Here is a 27,229-nt window from a genome sequence, read left to right on the forward strand (position 1 = left end):
GCCACCACACCTGGCTAGTTTTTGTAGTTTTTAGTAGAGACAGGGTTTCACAATGTTGGCCAGGCTGGTCTCGAACTCCTGACCTCAGGTGATCCGCCCACCTCGGCCTCCCAAAGTGCTAGGATTACAGGCATGAGCCACCATGCCCTGCCTCCTTGCGTTCTTTAAACCCAAAAAGCCTATCTCTGATTTAGACCTGCATACACTGCTTCCTCTGGCAAATGAGTGAGACCCATATGTTGCACTCAGCAGTGTGTTGCAGCTCTCCTATTGCTAAATTTTCAGAAATTTTGTGAGACAGCCTCTAACTTCCAATTAAACAAATCATACTGAAAGCAAAGGTAATAACTAGTCCAAAATTCCTAATTATTTTGCTACATGTTACTATTATTGGTGCCCTTGGGGTTATTTATGTCTGTTGCATGATGGAAATACTGTATAATGGTGTGTGTCTTTTCTCAACCCCACACTTTGAATATATGTAGCTTCAAATGAGCCATAGTGGGAGTATTTACTACAGAAATTGGCAAATGCTAAAATGCAGGGCTTGAGTTTTTATTTTGTTGACTGTGTAGATTTAAGAAAGTGATGCAAAAATGTTAATAATATGAATTAAGTATGAAAGTTTGCATGCCTGAAGCTGTAACATAATGAGTGGCAGAAAATTTGAGGAAATATTCTTCCAGTATTCGAGAAGTATTATCCAATTCAGGAGAGCAGTGACTCATGTCACTGATGAATGAATGAAGTTCAAATATTCATCTCTGTTGTTTCATTGTCTTCTTAATCATTAATGTAAAAGAAAATATCAGCCAACATTCATGTCAAAACCACTCTTTCTTTTTTTTTTTTTTTTGAGACAGACTCTCGCTCTGTCACCCAGGCTGGAGTGCAGTGGCACGATCTCAGCTCACTGCAACCTCCGCCTCCCAGGTTCAAGCAATTTCCCCTGCCTCAGCCTCCCAAGTACCTGGGATCACAGGCGCCCACCACCACGCCCAGCTAATTTTTGTATTTTTTAGTAGAGAAGGGGTTTTGCCATGTTGGCTAGGCTGGTCTTGAATTCCTGACCGCAGATGATCCGCCCACCTCGGCCTCCCAAAGTGCTGGGATTACAGGTGTGAGCTACCGCGCCCAGCCCACATCAGAACTACTCTTATTCATCAATGAAAATTACATTTGGGCTATGACTATAAGAGTTCAGCAGAAATCAATGAAAGCATTTTGGGAGAATTAATTGGCTATACAGAATTTATAATAAAAAATATTGTATATTTTATTATTATCCATAAACTGTAAACTATATATCTTTCTATTAGTAAAACTTATAATAAGCGTATGTATGTATATACACGCTCTTTTTTTTTAAAGACCCAATTGTTAAACATTTATCCATAGAGCTCTCATTTCTGTATTTTGCATGGGTCTCTACTCAGGGACATCTTCTTTGACCACGTTATCTAAAGTAGTGTCCATCATATGTCTCTATCCTGTGACTGTATTTTTCTTCATATTATTTTTATTCTTTTATCTTTATTTTTTATTTTTTATCTTTATTTTTCTTCACCACAAATGAATACCTGAACTTCAATCATTCATCCATAACATGAGTTACTGCTCCTCAGAATTGAATAAAACTTTTCAAATACTACTTAATGCTATGGCATATATATATTTGTTTACTTGTTTATTGTATGGTTCCTTCAACTGAATTGTAAGTTCTATTCTGGTTAAAAGAATCTTTGTTGTTATCACTGCTTCTTTTTCTCTTGTGCTGAGAATGGATGACTGGCATAAAGCAGATACTTAACAACAAAAAAAAAGTTTTTAAAGAATGAGAGCAATAGACCTTCTCAGATTCTCAGGTAAATTCATGGCATCTTTTATTATAAGTCAGTGTAGGCAGGACTCTCAATCCCTTTCATACTGTTACAATCAAAAATAATATTTGCAAATAGTTTAGAAATCAGTATAAGGCAGAAACAAACCAGAGAAAAGATTTCACAGCCATGACTATTAATTAACTTTCAGTATGTTTTAGCAAAAGATGACAAGATCAGAAAATATGTTTCCTTGAGCTCTGCAAGCAAAGCAAGAAAAGCAAAAGATCCACTATATTCAAAGCAAGGCTGTCCAGATCATTGTCGGGGAGCCCACGTGCTTCTAAGTCCAATTCTAAGAGTCCCATTGACAGCCCAGTGACAGGGGAAAGCAATCAGATAAGGAAAATGCTCACCATCTAATGGGGGTTCAAAAAGGCCAAGTGGCAGGGTGGTAAAGATGCTGTGAAGGAGAATGGTGTATCGGGCATTTCCTCTGCATTTGAGAAACAGCTGAGCACCCTGGGAATATTTAGCCCAGGGTGCTATATTTAGCAATGAGAAGACCTGGAGCCTTGGGATGATAAGCTCCTCATATTTGGATAGTGGAGGTCTCTCCTGTAGAAGAGAGAATGAACTTATTTTGTACAAGTTCAGAAAAGGGCTGGTGAATGATAGTGACTAAGAGACAAACTTGACTTTAATTTTTTTACATTTCTTTTAACTAGAACCCTAAGTCAATAAGATGGATTGCCTCAAAATGGAGTGGGCTGCCTATCACTGAAAGTGCTGGAGCACAGGACAGGGTTGAGCTAGAACCTGGAAAAGAGAACCTGGCATTCGGCCTGGGGTTAACCTTGACGGTGTTAATGGTCTCTATTCACCAGTTGATCTTATGACAAAAAAAAAAATGTTCTTTGTCCTTAGGCTTTCTATTCTTCTACTTTATTCCTTAAAAAATTCAACAAAGAAAAACCAAATTATTCCAATTCCTAAAGAGTTTTCTAAAACAAGGAGTATTTTGGCATTTCTTAATATTGTTTTTATATTTTATATTATTCTGCATATTTTTAGTCTTAAAACTTAGTATTTGAGAAAACAGCATTGGTGGCAAAGTTTTTTTTCATGATCCTATTGACGTATAATGTGTAAATCACAAAATTCATGTGTTTTAATTTTTAGTAAATTGCCCAAGTCATAACAATCATCACCACAACCAGTTTCAGTGTTTCAGCAGGTTTTCATGATCCCAACATGGTCTCTCATGTCAATTGCAGGAATTACTGTTTCCATCCACGTAATCTACAATATGTGGTGTTTTGTGAAAGGCTTCTTCTATTTAGCATAATGTTTTTGAGGCTCGTCCACGCTGTAGCAATGGATCCAAATTTCATCCTTTTATGGTCCCTATTGTACTGATATATCACATTTTGTTTATCCAGTCATCGCTTAACAGACATTTGGGGTTACTTCTGCTTTTTGACTGTTACGAACAATGATAGCATCATTTAAAAATATCTCCAACTCCCTACACAAACTCCAAACCAAAAACTCGTGGAAAACATTTATAACAAAATTAGATGATAAGATCATCATGGCAATGCATAGGCTGGAAAATAGGCAGATCTTAAGATTCAGTTTTATATTATATTTAATAAATAAATAGAATATATTTTAAAGTGAGAAAGAAGGTTACAAGACAAGAAGTACAGAAAAATCCCGTGTCTATATTTATCTATAAGTTCATTAATTCTAAGATGCACATTTTTTCCAATATCAATCTGATGTCTCAATGCATGTTTTACAATTAGACTATGATTTACCCTCTCTGTCAAGCCATCATTGTCATTGTACATGTACAAATATTCAAAGCAGAAGCATCATAATTTGCAGAATGGGTGCGAATGGTTTGGAAGAAAAGGAGGGACAGATAGATCACTCTTTCTCCTCTCAATCAAATAGTTGAGGGTAAGAGTCAGGGAGAGTGCGCATCCAACAAGATTCGCTACATTCCTGAAAATCAAATTCAAAATTAGGCAAGCTCTACCTAATGCAAAGCCTGCTCAGAGACCTGCATCATGTCTGTTTTCTAAAAGTATTATTTTGAAGAATGCCATCTCACCAACATCCTTGGTGGCACAAAGGTTATACTACGTGGAAAATCGTGGACAACCATGAGTTGAAGAACAATTCTAAACCATTAGACCCTGAGTGTAAGTCTTAGTAATACCTAACCAATGTATTTCATTTATAGCCTTGTTTATGTATGCACAAGAGTGGCACTTGACAAAAATTGGTCCAATTATGTTTTTAAAAAGCTCTTTCAATTTTTTCAATAAAACAAAAATTATATTTGAAAAGAAAAGGGGACCTGACATCCCAAAATACAAGCCAGTGGAACAAACCACTACAGCCATAGACATGTATGTTATCAGGGTCTAGGCAGGAAGGAAGCTAGAGAACATCTGATAGACCAGAAAATCAGGGAATCAAAAACAGCCAACAAGTATTCACTGGACAGCAAGGCAGGCCAGTCTGAGAATCAATAGCAGCTGGGGAAACATAGTGTCTGGGGAAACATAAGAGAATTAATACCAAAAAAGTCAATTAAGACTATACAAGGAAAGGGGTTATCATCAGGGTAGGGTTTCTGGGGCTGGCAAAATCTGATCTGGGTGGTAATCAGATAACCTCATTTGATGTCTTAAGCTATACAAAATTAATTTATCAATTGAAAAATAAATTTTTAAAGATTACCATGCTACTGGATAAAAAGCAGATCCTGTGGCCTACTCCGGACCAACTGAATCAAAGAGTTCAGAGTGAAGCCAAGGAATACTAAAGAACATTAAAGCTCATGGAGAAGAAAAAAGAAAAAGAAAACTTATGATCAATTTTACTTAAAATTATTTTTAAAAATCAACTGCATTTTAGAGTGAATCATCTGTCTAGTCACTAGAAAAATTTCTTCCAATTTTATAAAAGAAAGTTTTGACCAATAGAAGAGTCTCTATCTAGAGTTATCTGATGTAGACTGAGCTGGAGGAGGCATGACGGTTATTCTCAGCAATGACTCAGAGCCCTCCACCAGAAGAGCTGCTGCAGAGCGAAGAGACATTCCTTTATGTAAGCAGACGGCCAAGGATAGGCCGTCTCCAGGGACCACCAGCCAAAGGCATGGTATAACTGCTGGGGATGATATTTGCCTTATGAAAGTCACATTCACAATAGCGACATCATTGTCCATATAGAGAGCTTTAGCTTCCACAAAATACCCTCTATCCTTCTCCTTCCACTCCTATTTGATTCTTAGAACCCTGGATAGCAGGCATTATAGGAAGTAGGAATGCATTATAGGAAGTAGGAATGCATTATAGGAAGAAACTGAAATTCAACAAGGGAGGCCATATGTGCAGAGTGATGGGCTGGGGCCATGTCCCATGTCCCTGGCTCCAATCCTGCCACCCTCCTATTGGGCCATTCCGCAACCAACTCAAAGTCACAAAATCATCTTGCATTAGCATGTTTCAGAAGCGCTCAAGGTTTGGATAAACCGACTATGCTAGACAGAAATTCTTCTTAAGTACCCTACGTGCAACAATTTCATAAACATTTACTATTCTGGGTCTATTTCTTTCTCTGAAACACCTACTGAGTTGATTGATAATTTATGCAATGGTAATATTCCACTGCATTTAAATCTAGGGGTACACACCTCTGCTCTAACGCTGCCTCTAATTTTCCTACCTCACTTTCCCTAAAGGAGTCAAAACTTGGTAGATATAAAAGAGTTACGGCAGCTAGAGCCTGGAGTTTAAAAGATAAAGAGTTGCTAGGGTCACCCTAATGTATTCATATTGCACCTGTTATACATAGGACTTTTCTCCACTAATAGGCGATTAAATGTAAATCCTAATGTACATTTCATTTTATGTGCAATATGGGTGAGTTACTGTTGCTATAGAAACCTTCACTTTTGCATTTACTGATTTTAATTCTGTGACATTTGCTGACTTTAGTACAATGTAAAGTTTATAAATATAACATACAGGTTTGTGGAGGGTTTTTTTTTTAAGGATTCAATTTGCATAGCTAATTCTACCACAAATCTCTAGGTACATTAGGGGAAAAAGCATTAAACTGATCCCTACCAACAGTAATCAGCAAAAACAAGGCTATTTCTAGAAATAAGTATTGCCATCGATCCTCAAAAATCTCTCCTCACTAACCAAATACTCCATCCATTGTATAAACCTTTAACCATTGATTCAGTGAAAATTTCCCAATGTGGAATTTGTATAGTGCTTTTTTTTTTTTTCCTTAGAGACAAGGTCTTCGCTCTGTCACACAGACTGGAGTGCAGTGGTGCCATCATAGCTCACTACAACCTCCAACTCTTGGGCTGAAACAATCATCGAGTCTCAGACTCTCCAGTAGCTGGGATGGCAGGTGTGTGCCACCACACCTAACTAGAGCTTTTATTCCAAACATTTTCAAATCTGTTACCTTTAATATGCAACTGGCAAGAGAGACAGGCCAGATATGGTTCGAAAAAGAAAATGATGTCAGTTTGGAGACTACTTCCAATCCAGGGCAATACTCTGACTTTCAACTGGAGCTTCAAGGGGATCATTGCAACGAATCATTCTCTTTTCCTTCTTATTCTAAGTTGTCTTAGTTGTCTTTGTGTCTTTGGAATCTAGCATAGTTCCCACTATGTGGAATAAACACATGCTTTCTAGGGATCTTTCAAGCTTTCCAGGTGTCCTTAAATTTTTTAAAATTCTCTGATTATTGCCATTTAACAGATATGGAAACTGAGACCCATTATGCAAATCATCCGAAGTCATCTAGCAACTAACTGGGAAAGTCAATGCATCCATAAGAGTTTGTTAAACTGATGTGTGTTTATGATGAGCACCCAATACTTTTGAAGGTATTCTCACAGGCATAGGTGAAAATTCTTGTCACTGTTAGAGATCCACAGAGAAATCAATTACTTTCTGTATATTCCTAGAAGAAACCTGGATTCAGGTAGCCATACACATACATATATCAGTAGAAAACAGGGTGTGTACAAGAAACATTTTAAGTGATGTCATCAAAGCCTGAACAATCAATAGAAGAAATAAATTTAACCAATATTTGTTGAGCTTCTACATTGTGTCAGACACTGCTTAGTAACCTTGGAAGAGCAAAGTGTCTGCAGTTGTACCTAAAGAAGAGGAAAGGGGATAAAACTATAATGCCATATTTAAAGCTTATAGGGAAAAGGAAGACAAACCAATCAAATGGCAAATGGCCCTAAAAGAATCACAAGAGCTTCTCAAAGACAAGAGGCAATTGAAGGAAAACAGAGCCACTAATAACCAAGGAGAAACAGAAATAATGAGATTCAAAAATGGCAAAGAGAATAAACTAAATCAATCTATGATTTAAAAAAATAAAAAGGATGTTGAACAAACTTGGAGTAATGAAGATATTGTAAAAGTTAAAGCCAATCAAAAGCAGGTAGGGGAAGGGGCTTGGGAAGTTCACAGATCAGCAGAGGCAGAGGAGGCCATGGAGAAGTTGGACGTGGAGAATTGATGGGCATTGAGGATATGCTGTTACAGCAATTTCCAATGGATTCTGGGAACTGTATAGAGTGAACATCATTAAACTGTACAGTTATTTGGGGCTGGGGGACACATGTACATACTGTTGACAAGAATAGATAAAGATAAAGCCTGAGAAGGGTTCCTACTCTCTTATTCCAGTAACCATAGAGTTTGGCTGGAGACCACTTATACTCAACACCTTCCACGGCTAATCCATCGCCCATACAATTCACTGTCATCTTTTACCAGAAAACTATACAATCCTTCTCTAATATGTCCTTCTGCTTCTGCTTTTAAATCCTTTGAAGCCATTCTCTACTGAGCAGCCTGAGTGTTGTTTTCAAAATGTCATTCTAATGATGTACCTTCTCTCAGACCACCACCAAAAGGAGTACATTTTCCATTACTTTTAGAATTAAAACAAAAACCTAAAAAGCCAAAACCCTTAACATCCTATCTGTAGTCAAACACGGTCTGACCCCAACCTGCATCATCAGCTTCTTTGCTGTCTGAACTATGGACAATCAGCTCCCTCCTGCTACAGGGCCTTTGTGCTTACTATTATTCTTTTAAAATGCCATCTTGGCATCGCATGTCCAATTTTTCTAGCTAAATCTCATTTGTTCTTTAAGTCTCAGCTAAAAATTCACTTCCTCAAAGGAGCCTTCCCTAACCACTATTGCCACCAATATAGGTCAGCTTTCCTTATTTATTTTACGCTTTCACAGAAACATGCTTGATTCCTCTAGTGCACTGATTACATTGTGATAAATACTGCACATTTTATCCATTACAACTATACTTTAGTTAGTATGAGTTTTTAATTGCTGTACAGCCCCCTTACTTGATTGTAAATTTCCTGCAAGAAATGCCAATGTCTGTTTTTATGCGGTATTGTATGCTAAACACCTGGCTCTGCTTGATATAGATGTACCAAATGAGGGAATGAATAAGATGTTAATGGATCTGCTGAAGAACATATAATATTCCCTATTGCAATAAAGTCAGATCCAAAGTCCTCAGACAAACATTCAAAGACCTCTGACACCAGCCTCTATTATATCTGAGAAGGCAGCATTTTGGCAGGAGAGGATGTGATGGTTAATTTTATGTGTCAACTTGACTGAGCCAAAGGATGCCCAGATACCTGGTTAAGCATTATCTCTGGGTATGTCTGTGAAGGTGTTTACTCTGAGATTAGGGTAGAACTCGCTGTTAGAATTGTTGTCTGGGTAAAGCACACAGCCCTCCCCAGTGGGGGTGGGCACCATTCAATCTATAGAAGGCTTGAATAGAACAAAATGGCAGAGGAAAGTTGGCTTAACTCTGCCTGGCTGTTTAAGAGCTGGAATATTGATCTTTTCCTACTTTCAGTGCTTCTAGTTTCAGAGCTTCAGACTTGAACTGGAATTTATATCATCAGCTCTCTGGCCCTCAGGACTTTAAACTATACCACCAGCTTTCTTGGGTCTCCAGCTTGCAAACAGCAGATCATGGGACTTCTCAGCTTCCATAACAATGTGAGTCTAGAGCTTACAATGAATCTCTTCCTGGATATATACCCTATATCTGCTTTTCTGGAGAATTCTAACTAACACAGAGGGAGTAGAGAAGTAAGGGTGTCTACCCTAGAAACAGGAAGCCAATTTAACATCTCCATGAAGCCTCATTCACACTGCATTCTATGGACATGGTACCCAAGCACGGAACACAGAGACAATGATGTCTCCTCTTGGTGTCCAACTCTCTTTACACCTGCAGAAACTTTCCTGTGCAGAAGTCAGCCAACCACATCCTATTCCTATGCCAGACGTGTTTGCTTGATGGCATCTCAGACCTTTATTTCCCCAAACCAGATGCCCTTCTTCTTTCCCAACAAATCCAAATCCTACAATCCCTTATCAAACCGATCCCAGCCTCCTCCATGACACATGGCCTAAACATTCTTCTTTATGCACTGTATCTTAATGACAGAAGAGAATTTAGCACCATCTTAAAAATTCTTCATGGGTCCAGTCAAGATTTAGTGAAGATCAATTAGAATTCAGGTTCTGGGTGACTAAATTAAATCAAAACAGGCCTCCATTTCCTGTTGGGCAGTTTCCACACTGCAAAAAGGCAGCTGACCAAGGGGAGAAGGAACGGCTGAAATCCAGAGCACTTTGCTAAGCCCCATGGAGCTAATGTCTGCCAGGAAGACCAGGAAGCTTTTCATTTTCACAAAAGGGCCATAGGCTCACTCAGAAGGAGCACGTTTTTCTAGTTTGCATAGACATGTCCCATAGCCTTCTGTGCCTGAAAAGAGAGGAACAGCGCTTGTCTGCATGGTGCTTATAGTTAGTTGCCTCTCCTACTCTGTGTAAACCTCGGAGCCTACTACTTCTTTCATATCCCTCATTCATTCAAGCACTATTTAGATTATCATTTCTGCCCTTGGCCCTGTGTCCTCTGCTGCTGATACAAAGATAAGCCAGGCGTCGGATCACGAGGTCAGGAGATCGAGACCATCCTGGCTAACACAGTGAAATCCGTCTCTACTAAAAATACAAAAAATTAGCCGAGTGTGGTGGCGGGTGCCTGTAGTCCCAGCTACTTGGGAGGCTGAGGCAGGAGAATAGTGTGAACCCGGGAGGCGGAGCTTGCAGTGAGTCAAGATCACACCACTGCACTCCAGCGTGGGTGAGACAGCAAGACTCCATCTCAAAAAAAAAAAAAAAAAAAGCACACACACAAAGAGGAGCCAGGTGAGGTTCCCAACCTCAAGAAATCCTTGGTGCTATGACTCTCACAGTGGTGTGACCCTCACAGTGGATTCTCAGTAAACAGATACTGGTCCCACAGTTGAATGTGGGGATCACTGAGGAACCAAAATCGAAGTCATCAGCCAATGAGAAGGCTTTGAATGCGTCTCACAGTGAGACTCAAGACCTTCTGTAACCTACCTGGGCCTCAGTGTCTTCATCTGTAAAGTGGGCGCTGTCTGGAGAGGCAGCGGAGCTGACAAGTGAAGTTCAGCTCTGAACTTGGGAACACCCAGGCTTAAGTCACAGAGATAGCTCTTGCTACCTCTGAAGCCCTGGGCTAATTACTAAGCCTCTCTCGGCCTCACTTATCTTATCTGAAAAATGGAGTGGATACCACTACGTATCACAGTAGTGTGTGGCTTAATTGAGGCCATGATGTAAAGCACTTAGCTGTGGGACTAGCGATTGGTAAGTACTCAGCAGATATTCACCCTGATTAGCATGGCTCCTGCTCCTGGATTTTTGAGATTTTCTTTCTTTTTTCATCCAGGCTCCTGCCTTCATCTTTATGGATTTCTAACCATTCAAGGCTTTGAATGATTTGCTTTCTTCCTAAAGTTCTCTCGATACTGTCATTCGGGGAGGGGAATTTGGGCCTTTTTTTTTTTTTTTTTAAGATTGACTAAGTAACCACCTGGAAGTTCCACATAAATTACTATGATTAACTTCCTGATAAGGATGAAATTTTCCACCCTCTACTCAGACAATTTCTCATGGCCAGAAAAAAAATGATTATTTTTGCCACATCTGAAGTCTTCAGTGGACTTTAAAAAGCTGCTCTTTTTTTCTTTCTCCCTCACCCAAGGTTTAGATTACAATAAGTTAAGAGACCTAGTTGCAGCCATCACTGGGGCATTTATGCTTCCTAGCTTCACCTCCCTGTTTTGAGATGTTTACGCAGTCTAATTCCTCCTAAAATCATCAGAGATGTAGCATTGTTAAGAAGTTAACAGTGCCTTCAATTAAACATAGGAATATGTGGGTCAAAATTTCCCACATAGCACAAGCAATTTAGGGTGTGAGTGTACATGTCTGTGCATGTGTATGCACGTGTGTGCATGTCTCAGTACCGCAATCCTGGCTGGGAAAACCTCTGTCCTCGCTGCTCTCAACAGCTCACTCTTGGCACCCTCAGTTATAACTGGAGGTTCAGCTGGCTACCTTCCCCACTAGGCTGTGAGCATCCTGAGGGCAGGGTTTATATATGGTCCTCCCTCACTGAGCACATAATAAAAAAAAGCTCAATAAGGTATTAAGGAATGAATGAGTCAATGCAATTCCATCCTAGACAACACAGGGTGCCACCATGAATGCTACTTCTTAAATGGTTTTAAAATCAAAGCTGTAATAAAGCTAACAGCAGAGTTCTTTCTTCTCTCCTTTTCAGCAGAGTTCTTTCTTCTCTCCTTTTCCCCTGCCTCCATAAAAAAAAGTCACAGGAAATATAGAATTAGGACTGGAAACCATTCCCCCTCCATTCTCTCCCCACCTCCCCCATTCTTTAGTTATCCTAAGGGTATCTGGTATCCCTTCAAGGAGGTCTCCAGAGACCAGGTAATATTATATAGGGTTAAGCTCCTTGGAAATACAATGGAGTGAATTAAGGCTGAGATTTCAGCTTCTAACGAAAAATGTCTTGACGTATCCTTTCAGACAAACACCTGGAAATATAATAAACTATATTTTAATGTTTATTTGTTTCAAATACAGTATTTTTTTTTCAACAGACAAATGTGAAGTTTTGAGTCCAGAAAAAAATAGGTTTAAATCACCATCCCAGCAAGCAGTTTTTAAAATAGTACACACAAGTGATCATTTCCATGCAGTTTAATGCACTTAGCCAACAGGCATTAACAGTCTTTTCAGAATAACCTAACACCTGAAGCTTATTTTCTAGTCTTAGTTCAGATGAATTTTAACCTTTCTAAAAAAAACTGGTGATGCAGGGCACCCACTGAACTCATAAATTTTAGTAGATTCTGCATTTGCATTTCGAGCTTATTTTATGAGGACGGAAAAAAAACAACCATCGAGCCTTCCTTTATGTGCGGGTTTTAAGACAATGGTTCCCAGAGCATTTTGAGGCAAAACATGGTCCTCTCCAGCCAGTTTGTGCCGAAAGGCAAGACACTGTGACCAGCAAGATCCCTCACCAAAGAAGGTGGGAGAAAAAGAGCTGAAGGAGGCTCAGAAGAGGGCCAAAAATACGTTATTTACCTTGACTTTGTGTTGGATGTGACAGGTTAAAAACAGAAATCAGCAGTCCATCTAACTGGGATCGTAGACTGCGGCTGAAGAGAGAACCTTGGTGTTCATAGCTCATCTAATCCAAGAAAGTCGAAAGAGGAAACAGACTCAGGGAAAGAAAATATTTCTCCGAGGCTTAAGTTTACAGAGGGAAGAAGGTACGAGAAAGATTCAAGAAAAACACACATTCAATGCACAAAGCATATGGGCCTGCAATGGGGCATGAACTACCATGCAGTAGAGGGAAGAGCCACACCAGATACCCGCCCACTTAGGGCTTGGGACGTTCCTCTGATGTTGACAGATGATTTTTCCCATTCTATCAGTGTGGAAACTGAGTGTCAGAGACTCATGTCCCATGTGCTGGGTGAGGTCAGGTTTCACCGCTTCTTGCCTTTTTCTCTTCCCCATGCAGCCTTCTCCCTTGCCTCCCTGCCACATCACCGTGGGGTCCTCCTGCCAGGCTGACGGCCAGCACATCTCTTCTGGTTTCCCACACAGGTCCCAATTGTATCAAGGCAGGAAGAAAACTCAAGACTAGAGGCCCCAGGCCGCTAAACGATTCATGGCCCACATTGTAGACCTCAAGGATGGGCAAATAAAATGTCACAAGGCAAGTTACATCACCTTGGCTTACGGGAACTTTGCATCTTTAAAAAAAAAAATACCATGAAAATCCATCCTTTGCTTCAGACACACTAGGCTAAAAATAGCTCAGTCAGCCAGTAAGTGTGTGTAATTTTTCCTTTGTGCATCTCCCTATCCACTGATTTCTTCCTCTCAGCAGACAGATGTGCTCCAAGACAGACCACCAGTCCACCCTCCACAAAGGGATCAGAGTGTTCTTGCTCAAAGGCATAGCAGATTGCTTCACTCCCCAGCCAACACAAAACAAAATAAAACAAAACACTTTATTAGCTCCCTCGGCCCAATAGTAGACGCTAATACTGACTGAATCCGTACTATGTACCAGGTGTTGGTCTGAGGGCTTTCATGCCTTACCTCATTAAATTCCCTAAAACAACTCTGTGAGGCGGGGACTACTGTTGTCTCATTTTGCAGATGAGAAAACCAAGGCACGGAGAAGTTAAATAATCATGCTATCGTCCAAAGTATAGTCTCTAAAAGGTAAAGAACCCTGGCTTGGTATTTAAATACCTCCACAATTCGGCCCCTACTTCTTCTCCAGGCCTACACACACAATCATATACACACTAACACATACACCCCAGACCTTAAGCCTCAGCAGTGTCAAAATCTTCACCCTTCCTAAAATATAATATCACTTTATTTGCATTTGCGTTCTTGCTACCTTAAACACCCTTTCCACCACCCTTCTCTAATTGGCAAATTCCCATTTATCCATCAAGACCTTCCTTCCCTGTAAATCCTTACTGTGTCCTCAGTAAGCTCTTTTAAGAGAAGGACTCTGCCCTCTTCGTCTCTAGACTAGTAATATCATGTGTAGTAGATGTTCAATATCCATTAAACAAATAAGCCACAATAATAATTGTTAACCCTTATAGGGTGCAGGCATTATGCTAAGCACTTTACAAGAATTAACTCACTCTATCTTATGAGAACCCAAACACATAGATTCTGTTATTCCCTACATTACCCATAGGGGCATCCCAGGTACAGATGGATAAATTATCCAAGGTCACACAGCCACTAAGTAAAGAAAAAAATTTGCATGACTCCAGAAGTTAAGCGCTTAATGCCAATGCTATGGGAGAGGACATAATCTTATTGTACAACCTATGTTGTACTAGAAGCATACGTGTATGAGGCTTATTTTTAAAAAGCATATTACTCATGTAAAAACAGTGATCTGAGGCGGGAGGATCACTCAAGCTCAGGAGTTTGAGACCAGCCTGGGCAACATAGGGAGATACCACTTCTAAAAAAAAAAAAAAAAAAAAAAACTTTTTTAATTAGTCAAATGTCGTGGTGCATGCCTGTGGTCCCAGCTACACAGGAAGCTAAGGTGTGAGAAATTCGAGTCTTGGAGGTCGAGGCTGCAGTGAGCCTGTGATCACACCACTGCACTCCAGCCTGGGGAGCAAGACGCTGTCTCAAAAAAATAAAAAAAGAAAGTGATAACAAAATGGCTGCTTCAGTGAAATGTGCCTTTAGAAGAAGATTGATATTGGTCACAGAGAATATCAGTTGTTATGACTGATACAAATATGAGCAAGATAGTGCCCAATCCCAAAGACCTCTTTGATCCAGTAAGGAAAACAGGATAACATTACATACAAGTCATGACACAACCCACTTTTTGAGGTATCCCTTTTCTTTTTGAATTAAAGACGTGTCCTTCAGAGGTGTCATAAATTAACTTGCTATATCCCAACTCTCTGGTTCTAGATCAACACTAACCCTTAACATTAATTCAAGCTTCCTCTTCCCAGTATGAATTGTGCTAAAATATTTTGATTTATGGACCTTGTGAAAGATTACGTGCTCGCTGCCTTTTGACTCAGAAATAATACAAGAGAAAGAAAAGCAGAAATAAAAAAGGATCCACCCTCAAGTTGGGGATAGGGAGTGAGAGAGAGGTCTGGATTCAAGACTTCTGACTAGTACTAAATGCTAACGGTCATTATAATAGTCATCATAGTTAACTCCTTCATACCAGTAATCTTCTACCGCAATGGGAGATAAAATTGATTGTTAAGAATACTTAACTCTGGCCTAAACTTGTAATCCCAGCACTTTGGGAGGCCGAAGCAAGAGGATCACCATGAGCCAGGAGTTTGAGACCAGCCTGGGTAACAAAGAGAAATTCTATCTCTACAATTTTTTTTTTTTAAATTAGTCTAGTGCAGTGTCATGTGCCTGTAGTCCCAGATACTCAGGAGGCTGAGGCTCAAGGATCACTTGAGCTCAGGAGGTCAAGTCTGCAGTGAGTTCTGATGGAGCCACCGCACTCCAGCCTGGGCAACAGAGCAAGACCTTGTCTCAAAAACAAAACAAACCAACAAACAAAAGCTGATCTCAAATCATGGTACAATGGAGCCAAATAATTTTTAAAATATCTATATGTTGTTAATTTTTGAAACATAAACAGATGTAAGAATAATTCAGGCAACTCAAAATTATATTTTAAGAAGATTTAAGGACACGGTAAAATACTCATAATTTTACTTAAAAGAGCTGGATTCAAAAGGATGCTCAATATGCTTGTAAGCAAGTAAAGATTTATGTATATGTATGTGTGCATTAAATTTATATACTAACATGTTCACAGCAATTTTGTTGCACAGTAAAATTAAAGACGATTTTCTTTACCTCCTTGAACATTTTTGTATTTCACAAATACTCTACATTAATAATGTACTGTTTTTAAAACCAAAAAAGGAGACATGTATTTTAAAGCACATGCAGCTTTATTCTAAATAAACTGGCAAAGGAAATCATAAATTCAAAAGCAATGAAGGTTAGTGATGTGTTTTTCAACATCAATAGCATGACACTAAAGATCAACACTGTTTTGGCTGGGCACGGTGGCTCACACCTGTAATCCCAGCACTTTGGGAGGCCGAGGCAGGCAGATCACAAGGTCAGGAGATCAAGACCATCCTGGCTAACACGGTGAAATCCCGTCTCTACTAAAAATACAAAAAAATAAGCCGGGTGTGGTGGCGGGCACCTGTAGTCCCAGCTACTCGTGAGGCTGAGGCAGGAGAATGGCGTGAACCCAGGAGGCAGAGCTTGCAGTGAGCTGAGATCGCGCCACTGCACTCCAGCCTGGGCGACAGAGCGAAACTCCGTCTCAAAAAAAAAAAAAAAAAAAAAAAAAAAATCAACACTGTTTTAAGACAATTGGAAAACTGAAAAAGGAGATATGGGCTTGGAATACAAAAGTTTTTGTAGTGTTGAGGTGCAGATTAATGCTTGGTAAGTGTGTTTGGATTTAGCCAGTTCCTGGTAATTACATAGTGACAGGAGAGTGCTAAGACTTGAAAAAAAAAAAAAAGAAAAAGAATAAAAAGAAACCTGAGATGGCTTATGAATTGACAGCACTGCTTAGTCCAAGTTAGCCCCGCTTGGGTTTGACTTCTGCACTTCCATAATCAGGAGCTTGGGCTAGATGATCTCATAACCATTCCAGCCCTGAAATTCTAGGATTCATCTAATTTGGGACTAGTAGGTTCCATCAAATTAGAACCTTTCAAAGGGCAGGTAATATGCACTGACTGTTTAAGTTTAATTTCAAGTAATAAATTTCAGCCAACTACATGGTAATCATGTTAAACTTGTAAGGTCTAAAAAAGGTTGTTTTTTTGTGTGTATTTCCAATTGGTCAGTTTTATGTATTGGTTTAGCTTTTGCTTCTCTACACAGATTTTCAATATTGAGATCAAATCTTCACGAGTCCTAAGAAATGACCTACGTTGGGAAGAGAAGTTTAACACACCCTAACTCCTACCAAAAGGAAAAGAAAAAAAAAGGGCTACAAATAATTTAACGTTTGAGCTACACAAGATCTTACTTTATAAAAGTTGATAAAAATTATTATTAATATAAGACTATAAAAATCATAGGTGCCCTGGTCAGAGAAATGAAGTATAGGACAATGTATGTAATCCGAAGAATTCCTATTGAATTCTTCAATAGGAATTCTTCAAATCAGCATAGTGTAGTGCCCACTTGCATCTGTAAAAAAAAAAGAGACAGGTAGCGTTACTACCCATCCACCTGATCCCTGTGGCCAGAAAGATACCGTATGGTACTCTTCAGCACTTCACTACTTCCACCAGTGTGTGCATTAAGCCACAAGGTGTCACAGTGAATCAATTGGAAGGGCTGTTATCAGTCCAGACACGCAGGTGGTGCTTCAGGCTTCTGACCAGTGCTGACCCAGCTCCCTTGGAGAAGTCTGTGCTGGGCTGCATATTGAGAAGCATGCGTCCTTAGAAGAAATGGCCAGTCAAGGCCAGTGGGTGTGTGCTCTCCAGCCCTCTCCTGGGGCCCCCATTCAGACAGCCCTGCAAAGACACTGGTGAAAGGGAACCTTTTAATGTTTTGTTGTCTCCACTGAGTTCTTAAATGGAGAAAACACCAATCACAGCTTTTTCCCAACAAAACGGAGTACACATGGTCTCATACATTGGTCAACCCTTACTACTTAACCATAGGTATGCCTAAGAAATAATTCTAGCCTTGAATTTGCAGGAGATTGTGACTACTCTGCCATTCCTCTCACATAACAAGGTATATGATTATTATGTCATCCCTGCCATATAACAGTGAAAAGCCCCTTTGGCATTATCACACGAGAACAACCAAACTCAAGAGTCCTAGATCATGTTATTGCAAGTTTTGTTTATTAAATTGAAATATGCTAGTGCAGGCATGTAAAAAGTATTTTTAAAGATACTTTTAAGAAATGAAGCAATGTTTGGCATTACTTACATTATTTAATTTGCTGATAGAATCCAGAATAAGTGTATCGTCGTCATCGTCGTCATCATCATCATAGTTCCCAATGATGTGGCACCTATCATATACCAGGCATTATACATGCATTTATTCTTTACTTTGCAATGTAACTTTCAGGCTAAGGAAATTGAGGCTCAGAAAATTTAAGAAACTTCCTTAATATTACACAGCAAGTAGAAGACAAACTCAGAGTTTGGACCCAAATCTGTCTTACTATAAGTCATACTGAGGTTGAAGCCTTTATGTTCAAGGCTGGTCACTGTTTTCATTCCAGAAGAAAAAACTATTGGTGAAAAAAAATGTTCATATTCCCTAACCAAAAGCTGCACACATACACAAACACAATCTGATTAGGACAAATGTCTCTCTCTCTCTCTCTCTCACACACATAAACACACACACACACACACACATACATACACCAGTTAGCAAACACAAAGTTATTACAGACCACAGCATCATATACTGATAGAACTTCCCATATTTTCTGTTGTGCAAATCACTTCAAATAAGCTGATTAATGGCCCCGAAAGCACTTACCTAAAATGCAAAGTGCTCCAGGAAATGTAACATATTATCATGATTCATACCGTAATTCACGGCTGTGGGCTCCCAGGTAGATATAGAGAGACAGAAGTAGCAGAAATATCAAATGAGAAAAGAAACACTAGGATAAGTATAAATATTTTTAATCAGAAGTCAGGAGATTCCCAACAGATTTGCACTATCCAGAGGGCAAAATAGTCAGGTCAACACTCCCTTCATAGAAGAAATTTTGTTCTCTCAGGGCTTCTTTTTCCTTTGGGCTTGACGTGCGTTCTAGCAGTGAATGCTCACTGGGCTATTAGGCTCACAGATTCTTCTCCTACTGGAACTGTAGGCAATTGTTGGTAAGACTTGGGGAAAATTTTAGCGTCAGGATGGCCAGTGCTGGAACAACTTAATTTTCTTTATTCAATAGGTAATATTTTGCACATCAGCCATGTGCTATATAGGGCACTGGGGATGCAATGATGTGTAAGACAATCAGGTCCCTGCCCTCATGGGGCTTATATTCTATCAAGGACAAGCAAATACTTAAGAAATAAACAAGAAGCAAGAAAATACAGGCTTCCAATAATTCCTATGAAGAAGGCATGTGATAGAAAGTGATTGGGGGTTAATTTTAATTGTTTGAGGAAGGGCTCTCTAGGAAGAGAACATTTAAGTTGCTCAGTACAGGACCTCCTAATTGCTGGGACTCTTTTCCTTTATTGTCCTTCTTTTCTTTTTCTAATTGATTACCTGCAAATAAAGCCAGCACTATGCCAAATCCCAACTCAACTGAGGTCTCCTAATACTTAGCTGAGTTATTACAAAGAAAGCCATATATTCGGTGTTCCCTGACCGAGGGCAAAGGTCCTGCAGTGTGAATCAGCTTGGCAAGCTAATGGATCCCAAAGAAGCCCTCCGTGGCTCCAGTCCAGTGAACACTTGGTAGCAGATAAGAATGGACCATCAGGAAGGAAGAGATCAATAGATTCTTAAAACCAGAGCAAGGAGTTTAGAGCTTGTTCTAGGTTTGAGAGGAAGCAGGAGAGTCACAGGATCTGATTTATGCTTTAAAAATATCACCTTGGCTGTTTGTGGGGATCAGATTATAAGATGGAAAGGGGGGGCACGGAGTGCTGTTAAGAGGCCGTCCTGATTCCAAAAAGAGAGGCTGGGGGCTCGCAATGTCACCAGAACAGGACAGATTCCTCTTCTTCAGAGAGGTCTGCCAAATCCTTAACGCTAAGCCTCCTATTTTGAACTGGAAGACTAAAACTTCAAATTAGGCTGGTCCAACGTGGTACTAATGTGAGAGAAGGGTGTGGCTACCAGGGCATCCAAGAGGAAGTGGGCAGCTGGGAGGCAACATCCCTTTACCAATATGCTCCAGGACAGACCATACAGTGAAAAGTCAGATGATCCAGCCCCTGGGCTCTCAAATCTCAGGATGGCCATGCATGAACTGAGGCCTCGGTTGCTTGTCTGGTAAAGGAGAACCAGAATGCGTGCATCTCAGGCTTTGGGGGTGGATCAAATGAGGAGATCTATCTTATCTTCAACAACTGGCAGGCATTTACTCTCATGACAATGGCTTTGCAGGTAGCTAAAGTGGTCTGCAAGGGTAGGAAGGAAATATCACCTCCCACAAAGAACTTCTGCAGACAGACAGGATGTGGGGAGACTGACTTCCTCTCAGGAGTAGATTAAACTAAGATCCTGAGAAGCCAAACCTGTTGGAAGTTCTTTCCCCTTTATGTCTTTATTTTCCCTAAGATTCCTAATTGATTACCTGAAAAGGGAGCCAATACTATACCCAATTTGAATTGTAATTTAATTTCCTAACATTTATTTTGGTTATTGTTTCCACCAAAAAATGAGATAGCTTTTATACTCATTCACTACTGTTTAAAACAATAAAAACACTATCTTTCCCAGGGCACAACTAAGAAGAAGCACTGAATGGAAATTTAAATATTTTTAAGTAAAAAAAAAAAAAACCTTTTAGATGACTATGCATTATATTCTATAACAGTTTCAATCACTCTTCAGATAAAGTGGGAATCTTAAGTATTCTTTTTTTTTTTTTTTTTTTTTTTTTTGAGATGGAGTCTCACTCTGTCGCCCAGGGTGGAGTGCAGTGGGACAATCTCGGCTCACTGCAGCCTCCGTCTCCCAGGTTCAAACAATTCTCCTGCCTCAGCCTCCCGTGTAGCTGAGACTACAGGCGTGTGCCACCATGCCTGGTTAATTTTTGTATTTTTAGTAGAGGCAGGGTTTCACCATGTTGATCAGGCTGGTCTTGAACTTCTGACCTCATGATCTGCCCACCCCAGCTTCCCAAAGTGCTGGGATTACAGGCTTGAGCCACCGTGCCCGAACTTAAGTATTCTTTAATAAGGAGTGTAATTTGGGTTTTTTTGTTCAGTACCCAGGGTATATTTTCCATCCCTGGATCCATCCCTTGGAATTTCACTTGGTCCCTTTGAAAATTAAGTTAGGCAGTTGAGACACATCTAGCAGAATCAAGTTAGTGAATGGGATCAATTTCCAAGCCACCTCCAAAGTCAATTTGTCTTAGAAAACAAAAATGAATATATTCACATTAAAAATTTCTATAGGTAAAACTAGATTCCTAGCTCATGTTTCCTATTTCAAGAGAGGTGCTATGGCAGAGTAGTTACAACCTCTGAAGCTAAACTACCGTCTATTTGACCTTGGACAATTTATGTAACCTGTCAGTTTCCAGTTTCCTCATTAGTAAAAGTGCAGATGTTAGTAGATATTAGTATCATACGATGTGATCATGAGGGTTACTTGAGCCGACATACAAAAAGCACCTAGTATTCATACTTGCCCAACAGACACTGAAAACTCCATATATGCTATTCTATGACTGCCTTTCAGAAAGGTGTATATACCTTTCACTACAGGAATATGCCCACGATACACCGTGTATTAACCTATCATGGCTCTCTATTGTAAGTGTGGTTTGTATGTCTCCCCTCTTTATCAAATTGTAAGCTTCTAGAAGACAGAAAGTATCTTAATCATGTTTATATTTCCAGGCCCTGAGACTGTCATTGCCTGAAGTATGGAAATTCTTGAAGGAATGCCTGAATTTTGTTTTAAGCATTAATAGTTGCCTAGGTTCAAATGCATGCTGCCAGAATTTAAATTTTAAAAAAAATCTAGGCTCATATTGATTTTTAAAAATTTAAAAAGAAGGAAAACGCCTTGTCAGAAAATGACGAAGGTATTTGTAGTATCTACATCCTTTGGACATTTTTTTAAATGCTATGTTCTGACACTTCAAAAAGACATTGTTTTCCCAGGTCAGTTATATTTTGAGGCCCACCAACCAAATCCAAATAAGTAAGTTTATGAATTTTGTTCTTGATCATTTATAAAGTTGGATGTTTGGGGTTGTTTTACGTTTCGTTTGCTTGTTCAGAAAGCGGGTGCTCTGTGTTCCTCATGAAAAATGAGTTAATGTGGACAATTGTAATAAAAAGAGATTTATGGCCCTGTTCTCCATATACTTTAAATTAATTTCTTTCTGGACCCCAAACAAAAAGCTAAATGTTTAAAAAATGCATAGCGTTTAAATCCTACATCATAATTTACACACCAAAAAGAGAGAAATTTAAATGTGCATTGATTTTAGGCTGATAAGAATCTGTGTTGAATGTGAGTTGAAAGTTCTTTTTTTTTTCTTTTTTCTTCTTGGCCTCCTATGAATAGTTAGTTTGCAGCAATTTTTAATTAAAAACAGTTCCCATAGTAAGAAAATGGGGGAAAAAAAAGACTTCAAGAAAATAAAATCAGTATAAGAGTCTTACAATTGGTTTTCTGAGGCCATGTAGAGATCCTGAAAAATAAGAGAGTTTGGAAGTTCTCATTTTTAAAACTGCACTTTTGGTTTCATTTAACATTTTCAAAATAGCTTTCCTTTCCACCACCCAGCCCCCTCCCCCACCTCACCAACCCTCTTCAAACAACTTGCAAAGTTCTGTTTTTAACACTGAAAATCATTCATATATCTCAGAGTAGCAGCAACATTTTTCTTTCTAAATTTCTAGGGGGGAGAAACCTCCAAGTTACCACAAAGCATTTTTTCTTTTTCTCCACCTATCCAAAATAACTAATCTCATTTTAACTAGATTCCATCTGAACATCAATGATACCAAGCTATTCCATGAATAAACATGATGTTACAACGTGAAACCCTGTGACTAAAGTATATAAAAATGTAGCTGAAAGAAAAGAGGACTAAGAATCCCCCTCCTCCCCACCCCCTCCCCAGGGAGTTTTAGAGTTGAGCTGAGAAGGGGTGAAAACCAGCAGATTTAAATTTCTAGGTCTTCGAACATTTGTAACCTTCATATTAAATCCTGTGAAACTAAAAACTGTAATTCTATAAAATCCTTGTGCGTACAGCTTCCGATTGTAATCACAGTTTTCTCTTTTGGAAGAGGATGTGTAATATTGATAAAAGAAAAAAACCTCAAAACAGGAAAAATACATAACGGAACTCACACTTTTCTGGTGTTTATGGTATTTTTTTTTTTAAATTAGCATGGTGCCAACATGAAGAACTATGTATACTTAAAAATATCTTCACTTAAATGCAGACATTTTTGGTCATTTGAATGAGAAAACAAGGTATAGAAAAGTTATCTCCTCTAACAAAGATTTGTGAACTTTACTTGATAAACTTTCTTAAATTTTATAATAATCGAACATTAGTTAAATCCCTTCACTTACAATGATGTCCACTGTAATGTTTCTCATATATTTTACCTATATTTTCATCTCAGGGCTGAGACCTAAAAATGAAAAAATACATTGTTTTTGCTTTTATTGAAGCTTTTCACAGAACAAATTCTGAAGTCTTCAGAACATATTTTTATATCCTATCTGACTGTATTGTGTGTACAGTGTTAAAACTATATAATTGTGCGGTTGTATTCTTCCAAAATACATTTGGCACTGCCAAACCATTCAAATACATGAATTTTGGAAGACATTGGGTCAATTTTTGACAGCATACACAACAGAAAATGTAAACTCCTTTCTGCTGCCTGGGAATTACAGTGAACAACAGTGATGCTAACCTCAGAATTTTTCTTAATTTCATTTTAAAGGGTGGGAAGAGCACCCACACATTTCTTTATTAAATTCCACTGAGATTCTAATGTTGAAAAAAAAATTTATTTCCCAGAACAGCTAGCAGCATTTAAAATATACTTTTGTTGTTGTTGCTGTTTGCTTTTTAATGCATGCCTATTCCTTTACAGAGAGGTGAGGTCCTGTTAGTACTTAGTCACTTGCTTTCCTCTGCCACAAAGATTATGGATCTAAATGACCTCACATAAAATAAATGTGGGGGATGTGAGATGAACACTTTAGGGAGAGTGAGAAGCAGAGGCGCAAAGCTGCTTCAGCTCAATAGGAGATACCAGGCCCCAAAAAACTTCAGAATTGTATTTCTCAGGGAAGGTGCTAATTTAAATGCATTGGTTTTCAAATTCTCTCCTTTTGTCTACTGATTCACTGATTGGCTAGTCAGCAAATGTTTAATGAGTACCTACTTGGTCCAGGAACTACTTGCTTTAAGTGCTAGCTTTAAAACCAAACTGGACCTTCAAGTTTTCTTCACCATTACCCAATTATTTTATTATTGGATGTGTAATATTGATAAAAGAAAAAAAAACCTCAAAACAGGAAAAATACATAACGGAACTCACACTTTTCTGGTGTTTATGGTATTTTTTTTAATTAGCGTAGTGCCAACATGAAGAACTCTTTGTGATTTTGTGATTTTGAACTAAATACCATGAGCAAAGAAATAATGTCTGCACTCTTTACTTCATAATACTTTTTCATGCTAAAAAAAAAAAAAAAAAGAAAATCTGAATTTTCAATTAAAGGGACACTGTTGGTAATTTGCAAATGAGGAACCAAGACCCATGCTAACTAGTTTGTAAGAGTTAGAAATAATATTAACTCCCAATGCCATCCTCTTTAAACTCAAACTTCCCGGCTTCTGAAGAACTTTGATTTAATTTAATTGGAAGAAATGCATGGATCCCCATGAGAAAATGCCCTGGGATCAGCCATGGAAGGAGAGTAGGTAAACATCATGGTTCTTTACTAATTTCTTTCCATATAAAAAAGGAGGTTTCTAGGAAATTTCCAGAAACTTGATTACAATTTCTTCATCACATACTGATTTGCTATATATTGTTTTTCTAGCCAGGTCCATGTTCAAAAAGGGGTGAAGACTTGAGAGTATTACCCAGTGGGGTGTGTTTGTGTGTGTGTGTGTGTGAGAGAGATATTAGGACTTAATGAAATAATACTATATACTATAGGAGTGGGACCAGAAGAGAGAGAGGAAGAGAGAGATGGAAGAGGGATGGGTGAGTCAGTCTTGCCCAAAATGGTTGTATGCTTTGGCTAAATTCTCAAAGTAGTCACTCAAAGGCATATTTGATTTTGCATGTGAATAAACTAATAACTCTTGCTGAGTATCATTGTATTTTATCCCAACCAATCCCTCTCCAGAACTCAGAGCAGCTTTATCATAAATAACAATTATTGGTAAAGGTATAGTGTAACTTTACATGAAAATTGTTTTTTTCAAGGTACATACATCATGATCAAAATTTAATATTTGATGTAAATATTTAAATATCTTAGGAGCAATTATTTGATTCTCTCCCCTTTTCATATGAAATAAAAACAAATGTATGGCATTGCGTTCATGACAGTATTTACTGCTTAGCAAAGAAAAAAAGAAGTATTGAGGCAATTATTTGAATAATTATTTGAAAAATTATCTAATTAAGGAGGGAAAAATGTAAACGGTTAGCTCTAGGACACACCAGAAAACAGTTCATAGCACTTTACTGTTACAGGCAGGGAGGTTTAAAAAAATCTTTAAGATTTGTCATAGCAAGCTTTCTTCTCTTGGTTCTTGAGCTATGAAGTAGTCTTTTTCTACTCAGAGCTAAATCTTTAAAAGTAATACCCCATAATCCAAAAGTTAGGAATTCCTGAGTTTAGCTCTCACAAAAAATAATGTACCATCTTTGCAAAGCATACTGCGAAAGGAGGTCTTTTCAAATGTCTTGTCTCAAATGGGAAACAAACCTGGGACCATATTGAATCCTGCAGTTTTTTTTAATGAGGGCAAGAGTAGGGAAATCTTGCAGATAAGTCTCCTAGCTCAGACCTGGCCAAGTGCTCAGTAATGGGCAGGAGGGCAGGCAGATATCAGAGAAAGCTGCCTGTGTTCCTAACTGCAGGAGGATGGAGAAGAATCTCTGCAATTCCTCAAAAACTTTCTAAAATGTAAGGTGGACAGGTCATTTTTAAATATTGTTGCTGTTCAAGAATTGAGCCATAATGGTCCCTGGCCTCTTTTTTTATAACTAATCATACTTTTAAAAGACTATTTTTTCCAAATTTGTATTGCAATTAATGTGTGCCTGAACTATAAGACATTTTCTATCCTCCTAATTATGAAAGCAGCCTGTGTCAACCAATGGTTTATGCAGAGATTTAAGATTCCAACACACAGTTGCAAAGATCTGAAGGAAATATACAAACTGTTACACACACAAAGCAACATACACAAAACAGCAAGCACAAATATCAGTCACTGCCAACAGTTCACTATCCTAAGCAAAACATAGTTTGCACTTCTATAGAAGCTACTGGCTTCTAGAAAGAGCAAGAGTACCAGCAGTCATATTTAGCGTCTATGGTGTATTAACATATAAAGAAAACAGCAGTCATTAAAGACAACCCAGCTTTTAAAATACATATAAGTCCTTGTCCAGCAGTTAGCCAATCAGAAAGCAGGTCACATCTTGTTAGCTGTATTAAATACACGAAACGTCATGAATTCTCTATGGCTCTGTTGACAATTCAAGCCAACTGTGTTTTATCCCATAGCACAAACTTAATGGAGTCCCTTCCTAGAGTTAAAAGTCAATCTTCAATCTAAAATTCCACCAGAGCTATTCCCTAAAAGCTCTTTGGCATAAATCTTGTGGTATTTATACTCTGCAGAGAAGACTAAATTCCTAGCAATTTCCACTTCCTAAAGTGACTTTGGTGCACCTATAACAAACTCCTTTTCCGAACACTTCCACACAAAGCCCCAACTTACAGGCAGATGGACAATCCAGCAGCAAGACCTGCCAGCTGAGCTAGCACAGAGAAAAAGTCAACTGACATAAAATATTTAAATTGCAGGAGGCGAGTCTGGAGTTTTGCATTTAAAAAGTTCTGAAAGTCCTGTTCTCTCTGCTCCCAGAGTTGCTGGCTGCCTAGGAGGCTGAGTCTCCCTCTCTCAGGCACAAGATCTCAAATATGCAAAAACTAGAGCTGACTTGAAAGCTGAACCAGCTCCTGTCCTAAGGTAGAGTGATAGGGGGGCACGGCCGACAGCAATAGGAGAAAGTCTAGAGTCCCCTTGCCCCAAGCAACTGGTTTCTGATTTTAACACTGAAATATACAAACATGTGTCCCTCCAGGGCTAGTTCTGAGAAGTAGGCAGGTTTACTCTTCTGCCCCTTTTTACCTCGATTTTGGTGACTCTGAAAAGTAAATACAGGTCAAAGCAGACTTCCTCTAGGATTTGTAAAAAAGAAAATATATATATATATATATATATATATATATATATATATATATACACATATGTATATATATATATATATATATATATATACACATATGTATATATATATATAGCCAGATGCAAACA

At 38.7% G+C, this 27,229-nt stretch overlaps 1 protein-coding gene and 1 long non-coding RNA gene across 20 annotated transcripts in view; both read right to left on the bottom strand.

Moving 5' to 3' along the window:
- Nucleotides 1-27,229, bottom strand: part of LDB2 (LIM domain binding 2) — a 397,105-nt gene that overhangs the window by 369,241 nt on the left and 635 nt on the right. For 8 of the 19 annotated variants that reach the window (XM_017008812.3, XM_017008816.3, XM_006713976.5 and 5 more), the window contains exons 2-3: nucleotides 22,290-22,318; nucleotides 17,893-17,977 (exon numbers count right to left, since the gene is read on the bottom strand). The exons of 10 other annotated variants lie outside the window; for them this stretch is intronic. In XM_017008812.3, the coding sequence (XP_016864301.1) occupies nucleotides 17,893-17,977; nucleotides 22,290-22,318 (114 nt within the window). Of the gene's footprint in view, nucleotides 1-17,892; nucleotides 17,978-18,459; nucleotides 18,587-22,289; nucleotides 22,319-27,229 lie in introns of all 19 variants that reach the window. One more of the 19 variants, NR_130734.2, reaches the window with a different exon arrangement.
- LOC107986188 (uncharacterized) lies at nucleotides 22,509-24,339 on the bottom strand. The gene is made up of 2 exons (XR_001741396.2): nucleotides 24,165-24,339; nucleotides 22,509-22,953 (listed from the first exon to the last, which is right to left on the bottom strand). It is a non-coding gene; the product is annotated as an uncharacterized LOC107986188 (long non-coding RNA).

Source organism: Homo sapiens, chromosome 4 (assembly GCF_000001405.40).
Source record: "Homo sapiens chromosome 4, GRCh38.p14 Primary Assembly".
Taxonomy (NCBI): Eukaryota; Metazoa; Chordata; class Mammalia; order Primates; family Hominidae; genus Homo; species Homo sapiens.